The sequence below is a fragment of the Homo sapiens genome, chromosome 13 (assembly GCF_000001405.40).
Source record: "Homo sapiens chromosome 13, GRCh38.p14 Primary Assembly".
In the NCBI taxonomy this organism is placed as follows: Eukaryota; Metazoa; Chordata; class Mammalia; order Primates; family Hominidae; genus Homo; species Homo sapiens.
The window spans coordinates 100,389,990-100,407,632 of NC_000013.11; the positions used below are offsets into that span (position 1 = coordinate 100,389,990).

Consider the following 17,643-nt stretch of genomic DNA (forward strand, 5'->3'; position numbering starts at 1 on the left):
AGGGCCTGCTAGAAGCAGTCATGCAGGTGGGCGCTGTGAGCCTCAGCTGCAAGTATTTTGGAGAAAAAATGGATCAACATGGAAGAGATTTAAGATGTAGAATTAACCGTGCATTTATTGAGCAGTAATAATATTAGCTAATATATATTGCATATTTAATATGTGTCAAGCACTGTTCTAAGTGATCCACATGCAATATGTTATTTAACAACAATTGTAGTCAACATGTACAATCTACTTTCATTTCTATTCCAATCCTATAAAGCATAAGTACTATTATTAGTCCTATTTTTAAGTATAAGGAAATTGAAGCATAGAGAGGTTACGTCTAGAGAAATAGGAAGACAATTTTAGACATAATTTTGAAGGGATCTGTGAGATACACAAGTGGAGATGTTTCCTGGGTCATTGCATGTGAGGTTCTGTGGCCCAGGAGAGAGTTTGGGGGAGATTCGGTCTCCAGTAGTATAAATGGCAGTTGAACACGGGTTGAATTGAGGAGAAAGTAGAAAAGGGAAGAGGACCAAGAAAGATGAAACCTTGAGGTATGCTAAAGATTTAAAGGATGGGCAGAGGAAGAAGAATCAGCAAAGGATACTGAAGAGGAGCATTGAAAGAGACTGTGTCAGAAAACCCAAGAAGTTGTGTTGTTTCAGAATTTAAAGGAAGAGGCTGTTTTAAGAAGATGAGGTCATTGATGCCAGTGAATGTAAGAAGTCATGTTAAAACAAAAAAAACAACTAAGGCTGAGATTTATCCATTGGATTTAGTGAAAATAATTGAGAACAATTTCAGTGTTGTAATGGGGCCAGAAATGAAATTGTGGTGAGTTCAGACATTGAGATATGCGGACAAGTGGAGTGAATGACTCTTCTAAAGGCATGGTCGTTAAGAGTGGGCCATGGTGTTGAGGGGATTGACTTTTTAAAGGTTTAATAAATTCTTAAGTGCTGATAACAGGTGCCAGAAGAAGGGAATTTTTGATGATTAAAGAATAAGGAGAAAAAGAAGAACTAGGAGAAGGGCCTCTGTGCTTTTTTTTTTTTGAAATGGAGTCTTGCTCTGTCACCCAGGCTGGAGTGCAGTGGCACGATCTTGGCTCACTGCAACCTCCACCTCCCGAGTTCAAGTGAATCTCCTGCCTCAGCCTCCCAAGTAGCTGGGACTACAGGCGCACGCCACCACGCCCAGCTAATTTTTGTATTTTTAGTAGAGACGGAGTTTCACCATGTTGGCCAGGATAGTCTTGATTTCTTGACCTTATGAACCACCACACCCAGCCTCTGTTCCATTTTTATATGAAAGGACAAAGGAGCGGGTGGAGATGAAGGGAGAGTTGGTGACTTATTCACCTGTGATGGCTGCTGTGGGGGAAGAGGTGAGGTGAGACTGGGAGGAGTTGATTATGGCATTAGAAATTGGAAGTACGTGGAATGTTGTTGAGGCTGGGAGCAAGAATTGACTTAAACACAACAGAAGGGCTAGGCTAACCAAGCTTCCATTTGAAGTCGTGGAGCAGGAGTTGATGGGGTATCAATCCATGTGGTCAGATAGTGCAAGGCAGCTCTGCATGTCCAGGAGGCCAGGACACAGGGAGGCTAGGCGGAGAGGTGCCAGTGAGGGAGGTGGAGATAGGCAGATCCTGAAGGGCCTTTAAACTATGGGTTTCGATTTTATTGTGACATTATTCATTATCTAGCCAGCTTTTATAGGAGCAGTTTATAAAGTATGTTCTAGGGAATACTATTGATCAACACGTTTTTCAAAAGTCTAAATTGTGTTCAAATTGGTGTCTTGTGAGAATTAATAGAATACATATTTAGATCACTTTCATAAATAAATACATTAACATCATATTTTCAGTAAGCTCATATTTGATATCTAATCAAATTCTTTTAGTCATGAATTTGAATGAGAGGTTTTTTGGGTTATTGTTACTGTTTGTTTTGTCTTCTGTGTTTTTATATTTGGAAGCAGAATTAGCTTTTGGTCTCTTAAGTGACCCCTTAGTCACTTAAGATGGTGTTCATTTCCATCATTGTGCTTATCATGCACTTGAGTTCTCGTGTTTATTTCTTTGTCCACTTGTTTAATTTCAGCCTCTTCACACTAAAATAGGAGCTTTGTAAAGGCAAGGACCTAGTCTTGTTCACTGTCACACTTCTTGTACTTCTCAGGAAATATTCATTGGGGGCAGGGTAGAGGAGTTGGGGAAGGAAGGAAGGAAGGAAGAGAGAGAACAGTGAAGCGGGAAGGAAGGAGTTCCAAAAACTGCTTCCCTAGTGGTCATGGAAACTCTTTAATAAATTAGAATGTTGTCTCCAAAAAATACAGGCAGATATGCGTTGACAATTGCCTTTCATACACCTTAACAAACTAGTTACATAATGGGATATCAAAATTCAGTCAATGTGTTTGCTAGTTTAATTTGTTGTGATTAAAGAAAACAATGATTTTATTTATAAATTTAGCACCTAGGAAATGTGATTTCAAATATCAAAGCATAGGCATTTTTTACTCTTTTTAAAATTGAAGGGTCAACAAAATCTGCCTTATTCTTCACAGTTTTTTCTCTGTCAGTAATGTAGCAGTGTGTTAATTTCCAGAAATTTAATCTCTTCTATAAAATTTCCTGTGACCTGAAAACTTTTGAATTGGAGTTAATTTACCAAACTGTCATGGAATGCCTGAAATTTCCTTGGGGCAGAGGAGGTAGCAGAGAGGTGGTAAGTTACCATGTTTCCATTGTGTGAATAACTGATAAGTGGGATTCCAAACAGAATCCATGTAGCGTTTTAATGAATTCACATTTGGAGAAAAAAGTCACAGACTTTCAAAACTTACAGGAATTTGGCTGTCCTAGGGCAACTCCTCACTTAACAGCAAGAGGGGATGAGAAGGTTGAGTGACTCACCCAGGGAAGTGACTCACCCAGGGAAGGTCAAGTGACTCACCCAAGGTTACTTGGTAAGTAAAGAGAGAAGCCAGAAGCCTGGGGCCTCCTGACGGCTCCTGCTTCTCTTTTTACTAAGGTCTTCTGCCATGGGAAGAAACTCTGAATGTTAGCAACCATCTGGATGGTGTTAGTTGTATGTCTCTCTATGTATGTTGAAAAGAAAATGTTGAAGAATTGAATTTCTCCTGCTTATGGGTTGTGTCACATTTAATAGCGTTCTTTAAGAAAAAAACACGATTGCTCAATATGATTATATGAGCTCACCATAACCAATGACAGGCAGAAAATCCTGGGAGGATAGACACTAACACCACATTATCCTGTTGGGATAATATCCCAAATTCTGAATATAACTTTCTTTTACCACTTTAAAGGCCAAAAAATGGCTGTTAAATGGAGTATTTTTGTCAAACCAAGTTTTTAAAGTTTTCAGCAGCTGCTTCTGCTGGCTTTTATTAACTACTGAAGAGTCTTTTTTTTTTTTTTTTTTTGAGATGGAGTCACGCTCTGTCACCCAGGCTGGATTGCAATGGCGTGATCTCAGCCCACTGCAACCTCTGCCTCCCGGGTTCAAGCGATTCTCCTGCCTCAGCCTCCCTAGTAGCTGGGTTTACAGGCGCCCGCCACCGTGCCTGGCTAATTTTTGTATTTTTAGAAGAGATGCGGTTTCACCATGTTGGTCAGGCTGGTCTTGAACTCTTGATCTCATGATCTGTACACCTCGGGCTCCCAAAGTGTTGGGATTACAGGCATGAGTTACCGGACCCTGCCTACTCAAGAGTCTTAATTGAACATCAAAATCCTGGTTTTGTTTATAAGGAAAAAAAGTTAATGGTGCAACTAGGACTAATTCTTTGATTAATTTTTTAACCACTTCTACTTAGCAAGTATATGAAACACATTAAAGACTGATGCATCTGTTTTGTTTTTGTTTTGAGATCAGGTAGAAGATCTACAAAACTAGTTGGAGGCTGGAAAGAAATTTCAGATAGTGATACATAGAAATGTTCTGCCTTAACTCTGAATTTTTAGTCATGAAATAGTGCAAACTCTTAACATTACTTTTGTGGAGCTTTGTAGTCCATAAAAATAACATTGTTGTAGAGCCTCTGTATGCGTCAGCTGTGACTGAGTGTTTTGATGTCTTAGCAAAAGGCAGAGGAGTGCTTTCCTTTGAAATGTGTGAGGCGGTTTGAGATGCAGCTTCTCAGATGGATTTAATTAGTCCTTCGTAGAACTGGATGTCCGTTTGTTGCAACTGAATTCTCATTTCATTCATCCATAACTAGAAACACCTCGCTTCAAACGGGTTTCTTCAAAGAAAGAGGGGTTTAGGGTTCTATGTTGTACTGCTTTTTGATGTTGGTTTCCCTTTAACTGAGAAGACCTTATGTTTATACAACTGTTATTATTAAGAAAACACAGCTTTCTTCAGCGAGGTTCCTTTTGCATCAGCGCTGGTTCTTGGTGGCAGTCAGAGGTCTGTGGAATGGATCTCTGTCAGACTATCACAGCAGCTGTGTGTTTGCAGATTTTGCTTATGAGAGGCATGAACTGAAAATAGGCGTAAACTTGAGTAATTCCCTAAACCCAAAATATAAGATAGAAACCAGTAACTGAATCTGGTAACAGGGTAGTTGTTTGTTTCAGAAGCTTATATTAACCACAAAAACAAAGTGAATCAACTAACAAGGGTTACCATGACCCAAATAGTAATTGCATTTTGATTCACTTTGCCTACAGTGCACAGGTCAGGTCTGCTTCTCAATAAATATGTTGAAAGAATGAAATATATCCTTCATAGTAAAATTATGTTTTTTAAAAAATATGTCCTACTACTAATATTTTTTAAATTATCCCTAAACCTTCACATTTCATTAGAATAGCTACTTCAATTTACTCTGAAAAAACTGCTTTCTTGTCTTTCCAGTTTGTGTGTCCAGGGTCTGACGTGCTCCATCATCAAGGCAGCTTTTATCTTCTGTGTCCGTGATTCTAATTACATTTCAGGGGGTTGTGATCTCTCCCAGAATCCCGTTCATGCATTGTGTTTAGGATGAAATGCTTGAGGGGGTTTGGGGCTGTACACTCATGGGCACAGGTTTGCATATCTAAAACTTTCTTTGCTCTAACATCCTGATTTGTATAAAAATCCTAAAAGCAAATTTCAGACTTCTAATTATTCTTTGCCTTTAAGGAAAGACAAAATTAATTTAGACTGTTCAAGCTTAAAATTATCCCAAAGCCACAGATCACACTGAAAACACATAGTAATATAGCCCACAAATTATTTTGGTGTCTTGTTTCCATATTCCATCCAAGAGTCTGTAGAATCTGTAGGCTTATATTTCTGTCTTGTTTCTTAGCCATAACTGATCTTTTCCATCTTATTCACCAGACTCAGCACTGCGTAACTGTGGCAATTTCTGAAACTCAGTGGCAAGGGATATACCACCATTGAAGAGATTAAAAATAATCAACAAAGGCTTTAAAAAGTTTAAAAAATGTATTTGGAGCAATAATAGCAATAGGTCAGAAAAAGTTTTCACGGAAAGGGCCAATATACAATTAGGTTTCCATCTCTGTATTCTTGATTGTGTGTTTTATGTCTTGTGACTATCTTGTGGAGTTCCTAATTTTAAAAGAATTATGGGTGTGGCTCAGGAATATTTTATTACATTTGTGTAAATTAAATAATTTTTTAAAATTATGGATGTGATTTAAATATTCTTTTAGTGGTTCTGCCTTTGGTACAGTGTTCCATGATTTTGTAATGTTTTTATTTGTTGAAAAAGCTCTAAAAATCTTGGTAGAAATATAGAATCTCAGAAGGCAGAACATTTGGTAATTATCTTTTATATCAATTTGCAAGACAACTTGTTAGGGAGCCCTATTTCTAGTAGTTGAAGTTAATAAGTAACAAATCACAGCAATCACGTTTTTTATCATGCAGAGTGGGCAGTCTTATAAAAAAGAAACGTCAGTCTTTTTGGATATAGGGACACAAGCAATCATAGTTTTCCTCTGTTATCTTTAGTTTGTAAAAATCAACCTATCTACCATCAGCATTTACCCACAAGGTTTAGTTTGGAGTTACCTAAGGGGATGGTAGAGAAACAATAATTTAACGTTATGCTGAAAACAATAGTCTCTGAAGATAGAGAAACCTCTGTCACTTACCAGTTGTGTAAAGTTGGAAAAGTTACTTAGCCTCCCTGAACCACTGCAGCAGTGGTGTTTACCTGAATGTTGGCATAGAGGAAAACCAAGGGTCACGAGGCAGGTGGACTTGAGTTTAAATACCAATCCTGAACCTGCTGGCTGTGGAATCCAGCAGAAGTTAGTTATCTTTTCTTAGCCTTAGTTTTCCTTATCTGTAGAATAGGGATAGTATTCTCCAGGGTTTTTGTAAAAATTAAATGAGATTTTATATAAAGGCTCTAGTACAGTGGCTGATGTAATAAGCACCCCAGAAATGATTTCTCTTCCCTCTAAAACACGGATATTTTGCTTTTTAAAAGAAGCTAAAGTAGCTTTTACTTTGCAAGCAGTTCTTTTCCATTGTATGAAAAATTCTTGGAAAGTTTTAAAAATAAGACAAAAGGGAGCCACAGTGGCCCAGGCCTGTGGTCCTGGCACATAAGCAGCCGAGGCTAGGCGTTCGAGGTTAGCCTGGGCAATATAGAAACCTCTTATCTATATAATAAAAATAAGACAAAAAATAAAATGTGCCAACATATATTAGCAAGGTTTGTCAGTACTGATTAATATTTTTACATTCTAATATTCTTTGTTAGAATTGTATTTATTTTATGAAGCCCCTTTTGAATCTACAGCAGACTACCTGGGAAGTAGTTATAGAGGTCATCATCGTGTCTTGGTGATTCACTTTGGGAAATTTTGTTGAGTGAGGCTGGTGAACCTAGAAAGCTGCTTCTTCTGCCTCCCCATTTCTGTCCCCAAGGCCCTGCTGTGGTTCAAAAGCCCATATAAACCTGCAGTTTCCCTTTCTTCCACGATAGGGCGCGCACCTACACTGTTAGGGTATGGGGCCGACTGGCTCCTGCCCTGTGGGAGGTTTGATCCTTGTCCATTTAGAGGCCCTTCCTTATTCATGGACACTCTACTGAGTGTCTGTTGCAAACTCCCTGGTATAAACCCCAGACGTCATGGATTTACCACACTAATTATTAGAGTGGCCATTATTTGCAATAAAATAGTGACCCTTGCCACTGTGTTTTCCTACCAAATAAACTTACTGACAAGTATCTGCATTGGCTGGGTCGAGGTGTCATCAAATCAGCCTAGGTTTGGATGTGCTGTTTTGCTAGCTGTAGACCCTTGAGCAATTATGTAACTTCTCTGAGTGTCAGATTTGTCATCTATAAAATGTGGTTAGTAACGTCTCCATTGTAGGATCGTTCCTAGGATTCTGTGAGTGTGATGTATATTAAAATACCTGATTGATATTAGGGCCTCAGTCATGTTCCTTTCTTTGCTTTAGACTCATTTCTCTGAAAAAGTAATACGATGTTTATAGTTGGGGAAAAAAACCCAAAGAGCGTTCATAATCTGGATATTACCACTATTGAAATTTCTATTTTGATTCAGTGTTTTTTTTGAAGGTATTCTTATTTTTAAGAGAGGGAATTATAAAATATGCCATTTTCTAACTCAGTGTTTAAACCTTAAAAAAAGAGACATTTCTTGAAATGTTAAACCTATGGCTTTGAGCATGGCTGTGTGTGGCTGTATTTGCTCTTGGCCATATTTATTGTGGCAGCGTGGTAATGGGTTTATGCTTGTTTTATCGCTTGTGGTTTTTATAAAATAAAAACTGTGTTTGGCTGTGTGACTGTCGTTCAGAACAAGATTAAGGAAACTAGATGGAGATTAAACATAGCACAATCTTCTGTTGTAAATAACCATAGACAAACTTGTGAGCAGCTACCAAATTCCCCAGTTGGACAAAAAGTGCTTCTTTTTAGCTTTGAAAACCTAGTGATGATGATTTGAGAACTGGCATAAGTCTCTTTAATCATTCAGGTTCAGCGTGATTAGAAGAAGAGTTGTTTTAAATGTTTTTGTGATTAGATTTGAAACAAAGCTTAGAAGGATTTATGATTTTGTTTACAACCAGCTACGAAAAACACCAAGGAAATGTGAAAGCTGGTAGTAATTGGTGAGCTTGCTGGGAGTGGATGTTGTTTCCAGTAGTGTAACTTAACAAAGATTGAAGGAAGCTCCGTGCCATTTTATTTCATACCACTGGTTTAGGTGCATTAATTGATATTTTAACCAAAATTTTAATCTAAATCAAGTCTTTTAGGTTCAACCTATTCCACTGGGTTTTAAATGATCATATATGCATACCACAGCACATCTCACATTGAGAACGTTACCTCAGTGGGAAGGTTGTTTCATTCTTGGTTGAGTATAGCATTCCAGCTTGTAATTAAGCTGCAATACAAAAAATATACGCACTTGCTAGAAGGATATTCTTGCTAGCATTCTGTATGTATCATTTGCTTATTCAAGCATATAAAACTTCAACAAGAGGAGGTAATTTTGCTTAGATCTCTTGATTTGAATTGTTCCGCTATTTGGCACTGGGTGGAAAAGGGAAAAAAATCATATTGAAAGCATTGTTCTGTTAATGAAGTTGCTTGTCCTTTTTTGTGCCAAATTTGGCAGGTAAAATTACCATTTATTCTACTTGCTAGAGCTGGAGAATAGACTGTTGAGGAAAAGTAGCAATTTAAGTAATGACACTAGATAGAATGTGCTACATTATATACATCTCCCATACTTTTAGATATTGACATGCAATTTTTATTTCTCTTTAGTAATGCACTTTGTCTTTAACCACTACATTACTTCCCGTAAGCTCCATCAACTACATGCAATTTGCTTCAGTTGTGAAATTTAAAAATTTACTATTAATTATAATAAAGTGAAGCATTTTGATTCAAGAAGAAATTAAAGATTGCTGTATTTTGTTCTGGATATTTCAGAAGTATTGTATTCTTTTTAATTCTGAATATTTAACATAAAAAAGATGAAATAGACGCATTGGTTAATTTGAAGAAATACAATCAAATTTGAGGTATTCATGGTTTTTTCCATGTTAAATATGCTTTGCCTATTTATATTTGCCTTAATTTTTGTTTTGTAGAGTATAAAAGAGAAACTTTAAACTCGTATACAAAAATGGGAAAATATCTAAAAATATGACTAGGTAGTTTTAAAAATTACTCACGTATTCAAATGAAATGCATAAGTTTAGCATTTGCTAAATTTGAGATATTTTATTTCATATTATTTGTAAATATATTTTTGTTTGGCGTGAATTTGTAATTCACTAAGTTTCTTGTAGATTAAATTTTTCTTAGTTGTAAAACTTCAGGCTTAAAAAAAGTATTATTATTGTTACAATTTACACTATAATGGCTAAACTTGCCCCTCCTCCTTAAAAGAAATATAAACTAATTTGCAAAAATATATTTTTTGAAAAGCCAATTGGTGAATTTGTAGACTTGTAAATGTTAATTCAGGAACAGAGTTGAGTATTGCTGGACCTTCTAACCATCACTCATTTCTTTCTGCCCACTAAACTAACTGGTAGGCAGGTGCAGATGTTACAAAATCTAGCATCGCAATTGACACTAATTGGCATAGTTGTTGGCAGTCTTATCAGAAAGCAAAGGGCTGAATGGTTGAATGGGTTTAGAGAACTTGAATGGTAATAAGCATTTTTATATGCATCTTGAATTACTTTTGTGACCCAGACTAACAGGAACACTTTATTCTGACCTCATTCTTCAATGAATAGAAATTGTAGAAAGCATAATATGCAGTGTATGTGATGACTGATTGTTTTTCAGGTAACCTTTTACAGCTATCTGCTCTGTTGCCTACTTCCTCCCCCCACTACCTCCCTTCCCAGTGCTCAGAGAAACCAAAGTACTGTAAATGTGTGGAATAAAAAGGAGATAACAATCATTAATGAATATTGAATTAATTTATTTGAGTGGTTTGTTGCCAAAAGCTTGAGGATGTCATAAGAGTTAGGCTAAACTTAAGAAAAAGTATTCATTGAATTTATGGATGAAACAAAAGGACGACTGGGACTTGCTTCTTAATAGTCTTGGAGCAGGTGGGTGAATCAGTGGGGATATGGATAAAACAGGATTGGCTTTGAGTGGATAAGTTTTGAACTTGGGTGATGGATATATAGAGGTTTATTAAACCATTCTTTCTGTTTCTATATATGTTTGCAATTTTCCAGAACAGAAAGGTTGTTTGTTTAGTATGCGGGGTGACTTCACCCTCTGCTGTTGTCAGGTTTTTTCAATACCTGCCAGTTCCTTTCCAGGATCTGCCTTTTCTCCCCCAGTTCCTTTTATCAAAAAGTACCCATCTAAAGTGAGAACTACATCACCTGACAAGCTGTTCTGTGCGCTTATGTATAAATGAGTTATTTTCTAGGCAGTGTGGATTTTAATAGGAGTTTTCTAAAGACACTGCCTTAATTAAAGGAATGGCTCTTGGGTTGGGAATTATAGTGTTGGGGTGGGTCTTTGTGTCTATATGTGACTATATGTAGACCACTCTTCACACTTACAGAAGTGTTAGGTGATAATTTTAGGTGTAATATGATGATTGATCTTAGTTCTTTTTAGTTCTTTTTTTTTTTTTTTTTGAGAGTTTTGCTCTTTTGCCCAGTCTGGAGTGAAGTGGCGTGATCTCAGCTCACTGCAACCTCCACCCACTGGGTTCAAGCGATTCTTCTGCCTCAGCCCCCTGAGTAGCTGGGATTGTAGGTGCCCGCCACCATGCTTGGCTAATTTGTGTATTTTTAGTAGAGACGGGGTTTCACCATGTTGGCCAGGATGGTTTCGAACTCCTGATCTCAGGTGATCCACCTACCTTGGACTCCCAAAGTGTTAGGATTACAGGCGTGAGCCACCGGCATGGCCTCATCTTAGTTCTCTATGTTAGAGGTAATGATGTCTTTTTCTTCTGTAGAAAGACTTTCCAAAAAGAAAGTGCTTTTCTTTAGGACTTTTTAGAATATGTTCAAAATACTGATCTTTGACTAAGGAGAGGAAGAGAAACCAAGATCATATTTCAGACTATTGTTTCTTTTCCCATGGTTTTGGCTTATCCCGAGAATTGACTTGACGTGTTCCCTTTTTTATTTCAAAGTAGCATTGCTTGAAATATTTTAGATTTTTTATAGCTTTCTAAGGAATTAAACTCTAAAAACACTTTAACTGTTTTTTTGTTGTTGTTGCTTGTTTGTTTGTTTGTTTTGATACAGAGTCTCACTCTGTTGCCCAGGCTAGAGTGAAGTGGCGTGATCTTGACTCACCACAACCTCTGCCTCCTGGGTTCAAGCGATTCTCCTGCTTCAGCCTCCCGAGTAGCTGGGACTACAGGCGTGCACCACCATGCCTGGCTAATTTTTGTATTTTTAGTAGAGATGGGGTTTCACTATGTTGGTCAGGCTGCTTTCGAACTCGTGACCTTGTGATCCACCCACCTTGGCCTCCCAAAGTGCTGGAATTACAGGCGTGAGCCACCGTGCCCAGCCAACTGTTTTTTTGTGTTTTTTTTATTTTTTTTTAATTGTATCTTGGGAGGCCTTCATGAGTGAATGTAGCTTGCTCATTATTTTTTGTACCATTCCCAGTCATTTTCTACTCATTCCTTTCCTTACTAGTTTTCAGTTTGGCCATGTTCTGTGTACAATTTCTGGTAAGTGCTACCAAAACCAATATATATTAGACATGCTGTTTTTCAAGACTCCTGAAAAAGTGCCAATCTTATTCTCCTTTCAGTTTGGGAGCACAGTTTCACAAATAATAGAATAGTCTTACTTTGTTTGCAGAATTAGAAGGATTTATCTAACAACTTGAATAGATAATTTTTTTTTTGTAGACGTGAAAGTGAAACCTTAGTATTGGGATAGAATTTTAAGTAGCATTTTAAATTTGTTTCAAAATCTTTTCTTATTGCCTGCCTTTCATTAAATGAGCTATGGTAAGTATGCTGGGGTGTATACGTGTGCGTGGTGATGAGATGTTTACCTCTGTGTGGATCCCTTGTAGATTTTGTATTGTAAAAGTGCATAATAGAGTCCTTTATATAGCTGGAATAACTGTAATCTGCTATTGTAAGCATATATGGATTTTTAAATACAACCATTATAATACTTTATAGGACATTACAACTGAAAATATTTTGACTTAAAAGTTGCTTTATTAGTCTTACAAAAGCTATGTTGAAGAGTTTTTTGTTTTTTGTTTTTTGTTTTTTTTTTAAAGAACCATGTTGTCAGTGGTCAACAATCAAATGTAAAAAACACTTAGCTGGAAAACATCCATTAAGATAATGAAAGTGAGCCACGATGCTTGTGTCAGTTTTTATATTTTAGTTTAAAACATAGTTTTTTAGCAATCCTATAATTATAAATATAAGTTAGATTTTCTCTCTAATTTAATTAGATAATTTTTATTTTAATACAATAGATACTTATCAAGGATCTGTCGTTCTTCAAGATCAGGGCACTGTGCTGAGTTCTTCATGAGGGCCATGAAGGAATAATGCCCACCCTCACGAACTTCCAGCCTAGTTTGGAGGTGTTGAGATTAATACAGTAATGATTGTAATATAAGGCTTACTCTGATAAGTACATTGAGATATAAAGTGTTACAGAGATTCAGAGCAAGGAAAGACCCAGCCCTATTTAGCAGTGGGCAAGGGGTGGTATGGGTGGGTGGTATTGGTAGGGGCAGGGGGGATGAGGCAGAAAATCAAGAGCAAACTGAACAAAATGAATAGAATAGGTGTCAGGTCATGGAAGATGGATGGTAGAATTCTGTTAGGCTGAATTGGCTAGTCCAAATTTAAAAAATAGTAGGACTAAAGTTTAGGATATAGTGCCTGTGCACATTTGCTGAATGTAAGAGAAAGTGGGAAGAAAAATTGAAATGATAGTTAGATTGTGACCATTAGTACAGAAGACCCAGAGGACCATGTGGAGAACTTAATTTTTTTTTTTTTTTTAATTAAGCAACCAGAAGCCAAGAAGGATTTTGAACTGAGAAAACTTGTAAGACACAGTAAAGCCACATTTGTAACTGGTCTATCGAAGTGAATACAACTGTAGCAGGTTGGAGATGGGGCTTTGGGAAGGTTTTCTTGTTTGATGGGATTGTCAGTAGTAAAAGAAATGGGAAGGAAAAGAGTTCACATTCAGCTTAGAAGTTGAGAACAAAATTTGGGGAGATAGATGAGAGAGATGTCAGGTAATAGTTGGGGGTTGGGAAGGGCCAAACAAACAACACTCAGTTATTGGCATGTGTGTTAGGCCGTTTCTCACACTGCTGTAAAGACATACCTGAGACTGAGTAATTTATAAGAAAAGAGGTTTTAGTTGGCACATGGTTCTGCAGGCTGTGTAGGAAGCATAGCAGCATCTGCTTCTGGGGAGGTCTCAGGGAGCTTCCAATCACGGTGGAAGGCCAAAGAGGAGCAGGTGCATCACATGGTGAGAACCACAGTGAGCGGGGGTGGGGATGTGCCACACACTTTTAAATGACCAGATTTCACTAAGGAGATGGCCCAAGTCATTCATGAGGAATCCACCCCCATTGTTGCAGGACTTTTTCTTGGTTTAGCTAAGGATGGGGTTCTTTGTCCCATGGCCATGAAAATTCAGGCCCACAGACAATTTGAATGGTGAGTAAGACAGGGTTTTATTGGGTGAAAAGGAAAAAAAACGGGGGAACAGGGACTCTTCAAGGCCAGAGTCCTGCTACAGTGCTTCCTGCCTGCAGCTTGAATGTTTGGTTCCACACAGGAAGAGGAGGGGCCAGGTTCCTCCCTGCTGCAAACACTGCGAACTTCCTGAGGCCCCACCCCAGTGCGCAGCTGGTTGGAATTTTTCCAAGAACCCCCTCCCTCCCACCTGGCTGTCTCATTCTCCCCTCTAAAGAAGTACATCTAACTGCCATTAGAATACGGATAAGGACAAAGACCGATCTTAACTGCTTCCTGCTGACAGGGGATGCTGTTTTGGGGAAACAGCAGTCAGAGATCCCTCAAAGGCCTATCTAAGCGTTCCCGGCAGAAGGGGCCGTTGTCAGAGTCTCCAGTTGCATGACCATTTGGAGTTTGATGGCCTGAAGGCAAGAACAGACAAACCGGGTTGTTAGAAAACATGTATCAAAAGGAAACCAGAGGACGGGTAAAGATAGCTAAAAAATTAGGCCTTTTACCAGTTTGCACAGGGAGAAGGAGGCCAAAAGCCCGACTGGTCAGGAAAACTTCACACTTTTGCTGGCATGTTGGGCTTCTGGGTTCCCTTCCCCTGAGCCCAGTCCTAAGCCAACCCGTTTAAGGTTTGGGAAATTAACTCTTTCCAGCTTGGAGGATGCATCTGAGGTGAGTGTATCATAGTATAGAGACACAATTACCTATTTGCAAAGAGAGAACTGAGGAGGAGAAAGAAGAAAAGAAGGCGTTTTTTTTCAAAGGAGTCCTGGGGGTCCCGGATGCATTCAAAAGGCGTACAAACTGAAGATGAATGGCTACCTATCTAGAAAGAGGGGAGCAGGTGTCCCTGGTTCCCTTCTCTTCCTAGCAGATACTCAGGGTTAGTGAGGGAGAGAAGAGAGAGCATCCTCTTTCCTTTCTTCTATCCTTGCATCCCTGAATCCCAGCAACCTTGGTAGGTGCTGCCATGGCTGTCAAATCAACTTGCACCGGTGAAGCAGGGGGCCTAGGGGGTGAGAATCATCCACTCTTACCCACGTAACGCCCTATCTCCCCTGCTGTCAGTAGCTTTGAATTCTGTATGCCATGGATACTAATGTGGCCTTTATCCATGAAACAGGAAGCCTTGGGGTTGGCTTAATCAGCAGGAATCAGCCACTCTCACCTGTGCTGTGCCTTTTAACCTTGGTGTTGTCATCTGCCTCTGGATCCCTTACATCCAGTTTTCTTTCTAGGGCTTTGACCCGAAGCTTGGAATTGAGTCGGGAACACAAATGTGTCTCGAGGGGAGTTGTGTGGACTCCTTACCATAAGTGGAATACTAAGGTGAAACTGTGGAACTGAGTCCTCCTCCAACAAGGGAGAGGAAAGCATGTCTTGTGACACACCCAGATAACTGGTGACTGTAGTTATGCTTGCTAGGATTTGGGTGCATGGTGCTTGGCTTTGGTTCACTCCCTTGGTCTTACTTTACCCAAAGGAAACCTCGGAGTGATGGGCATCCTATTTATTCCCATCCCCTGGCAGGATTTACAGGATAATTGCTCAGAACTAGAATATTGATCCAGACTTTTACATTACCCATCCCTCTTGTTCTTTCTGAGCTGCAGCCAGAGATTGCTGGTTGGTTTACAGGAACAAGCAGGGTTAGTCTAAAATGTAGGTGAAAACTTAAAAACAACTAGTGAGTTTAGAATTTAATGACAAATGTATGATAAGTTTTGGAACATAATTTCTCTCCAGTCCTCATTTTTGTTAAACAAAAAAAAATTATGATAGGACTGAGTGGTTTGCAAAGTAGACTTTAGTCTTATTCTTTGCCTGAATATTTGCATAAAATGCAACAAGAATAATTATTTCTACATAGGCCTTTTGGATTGGCTTTGATGGATGTCTATTCCACAAGGAATCTCAGATAAGACCTTTTAAGCCGAGCCCAGCCATGGCTTTCTATCCTCAAATACTTGCGAGTTGGGTGGTCCTCTCCTTTTAAGGTCCCAAGCTAAACTTGGAGCTCCTGGACCTGTTAGGAAGTGACATTCTTTTTTTTTTTTTTTTTTTTGAGATGGAGTCTTGCTCTGTTGCCAGGCAGGAGTGCAGTAAATCTCGGCTTACTGCAACCTCCAACTCCTGGGTTCAAGTGATTCTCCTGCCTCAGCCTCCCGAGTAGCTGGAATTAAAGGTGTGCGCCACCATGCCCAGCTAATTTTTGTACTTTTAGTAGAGACAAGATTTCACCATGTTGGCCAGGATGGTCTCGATCTCTTGACCTCGTGATCCACCCGCCTCGGCCTCCCAAAGTGCTGGGATTACAGGCATGAGCCACTGCGCCCCACCAGAAAGTGACATTACTTACTGACCACAGGTCAGTAACCCTTTACAGGGACTGCGTAGACAGGGGTATGAGGCCATTTTCCCCACTGGGCTCTTACTGGCTCTGCAAGTCAAGATTCACTCCTTTCACAGTGAAAGCCTTGGTAAAATAACCACTTTCTCCAATTGTGTCCTGTTGCAAAAGAAAAATGGATTCTTACTACACTGATGCAAACAACTATTTTGTCATAAGTTAAGAACACTCACAGATAGTTTCCAAATTCTAGAGGAAGCAGGAAGAGAGAAACAAACATGCTCCAAACCTTCATCACAGTAGTGTATACCTTACTTAATTATTAAAGTCCGTAAACAGTTCAAAATTGGCCGGGTGCGGCCGCTCACGCCTGTAATCCCAGCACTTTGGGAGGCCAAGGTGGGCAGATCACCTGAGGTCAGGAGTTCGAGACCAGCCTGACCAACACGGAGAAACCCCATCTCTACTAAAAATACAAAATTAGCTGGGTGTGGTGGCACATGCCTATAATCCCAGCTACTCAGGAGGCTGAGGTAGGAGAATCGCTTGAACCGGGAAGGTGGAGGTTGCAGTGAGCTGAGATCATGCCATTGCACTCCAGCCTGGCTGGGCAACAAGAGTGAAACTGTCTCCCCACCCAAAAAAAGAGAAAAATAGTTCAAAATAAGTTTCCTTGACTCTGAAAAACTAAACAAGGATCAGCAATATTCCAAGCAAAAGTCAAAAAGGTTGCTTCAGGTTTCTGAGTTCACTCCATTAAGTTCTCTTGTTTTGCTTGATATTTGTGAACACTTCAGCTCTTTATGAGTCTTGTACTTTTTCCTTTATTTTAATGTTACAATCTTCAAAGTTATTAGAAGCCTGTATTTGAGAGGACCTGTTAAAATTCTATAGCTTATTATAAACCATCTTTTGAAAAGGATTAAAACAAGACAACAATTGCTGTGAATAGCTAAATATCCAGGGTAGTTACAGTTAGAAACACAACTGACAAAGAAGTTCGGTTATCTCCATGGTTTACAATAACTTAACATAACAACCTTAATTATGATTAATAGCATATACTTGGACATTAGAATTTTAGAAATCCCATACAATTTGGGAACACATATTAGCATTATTCACAAAAATATAACCTAAAGAAGATTGAACATCATTTTGGCAATCCCATGTAAACTAAACATGTTAAATAATCCTGTTTACCTCTCTTTCTGGACATTCCAGGGGCCCTCTGGACTATCCGAAAAGCCAGTTGTCAGGAAAGACAATTTTGAAACTGAAGTTTGATTTTGAGAAGGCCGTTAAACGTTCAAGGTTTAAATACTTTGTGTTATAAAATAGAATTCCAGATTACCATAAATTATTTATTTTGCCAAAGTAATGACTCAGAAGTTTTAAATAAGTAAAAACCTTTTATAGCCCTTTACGAATTTTGCCAAAGAGCAGATTAGCGCCTTACAAAAACCTTGTTGTGTTTTTATTTCAATGCTCAATCTACAGAAAAACCATATTATACCTTTTGGAATTTAGTCAATATGTTCACATAGAGAACCTCTTC

The 17,643-nt window shown here is 38.7% G+C and overlaps 1 protein-coding gene and 1 long non-coding RNA gene across 34 annotated transcripts in view, besides 2 other annotated features; both read left to right on the forward strand.

The window, feature by feature from the left end:
* The window catches only part of PCCA (propionyl-CoA carboxylase subunit alpha), a 441,343-nt gene that overhangs the window by 300,897 nt on the left and 122,803 nt on the right, over positions 1–17,643 (forward strand). The window lies entirely within an intron of this gene.
* On the forward strand, positions 1,214–6,453 carry LOC124903201 (uncharacterized). The gene is made up of 2 exons (XR_007063854.1): positions 1,214–2,726; positions 2,864–6,453. It is a non-coding gene; the product is annotated as an uncharacterized LOC124903201 (long non-coding RNA).
* Positions 2,318–3,517: an enhancer, noted in NCBI's record as "P300/CBP strongly-dependent group 1 enhancer chr13:101044561-101045760 (GRCh37/hg19 assembly coordinates)". NCBI's record gives its function as "activates an origin of replication core promoter dependent on BRD2, BRD4, P300/CBP, MED14 and CDK7 cofactors, with strong dependence on P300/CBP, by STARR-seq in HCT116 cells {active_cell/tissue: HCT116}" and the evidence as "EXISTENCE:reporter gene assay evidence [ECO:0000049][PMID:35650434]".
* Positions 2,786–3,080: an enhancer, noted in NCBI's record as "tiled region #12105; HepG2 Activating DNase unmatched - State 6:EnhF, and K562 Activating DNase matched - State 5:Enh". NCBI's record gives its function as "activates a minimal TATA promoter and a strong SV40 promoter by Sharpr-MPRA in HepG2 and K562 cells {active_cell/tissue: HepG2 | K562}" and the evidence as "EXISTENCE:reporter gene assay evidence [ECO:0000049][PMID:27701403]".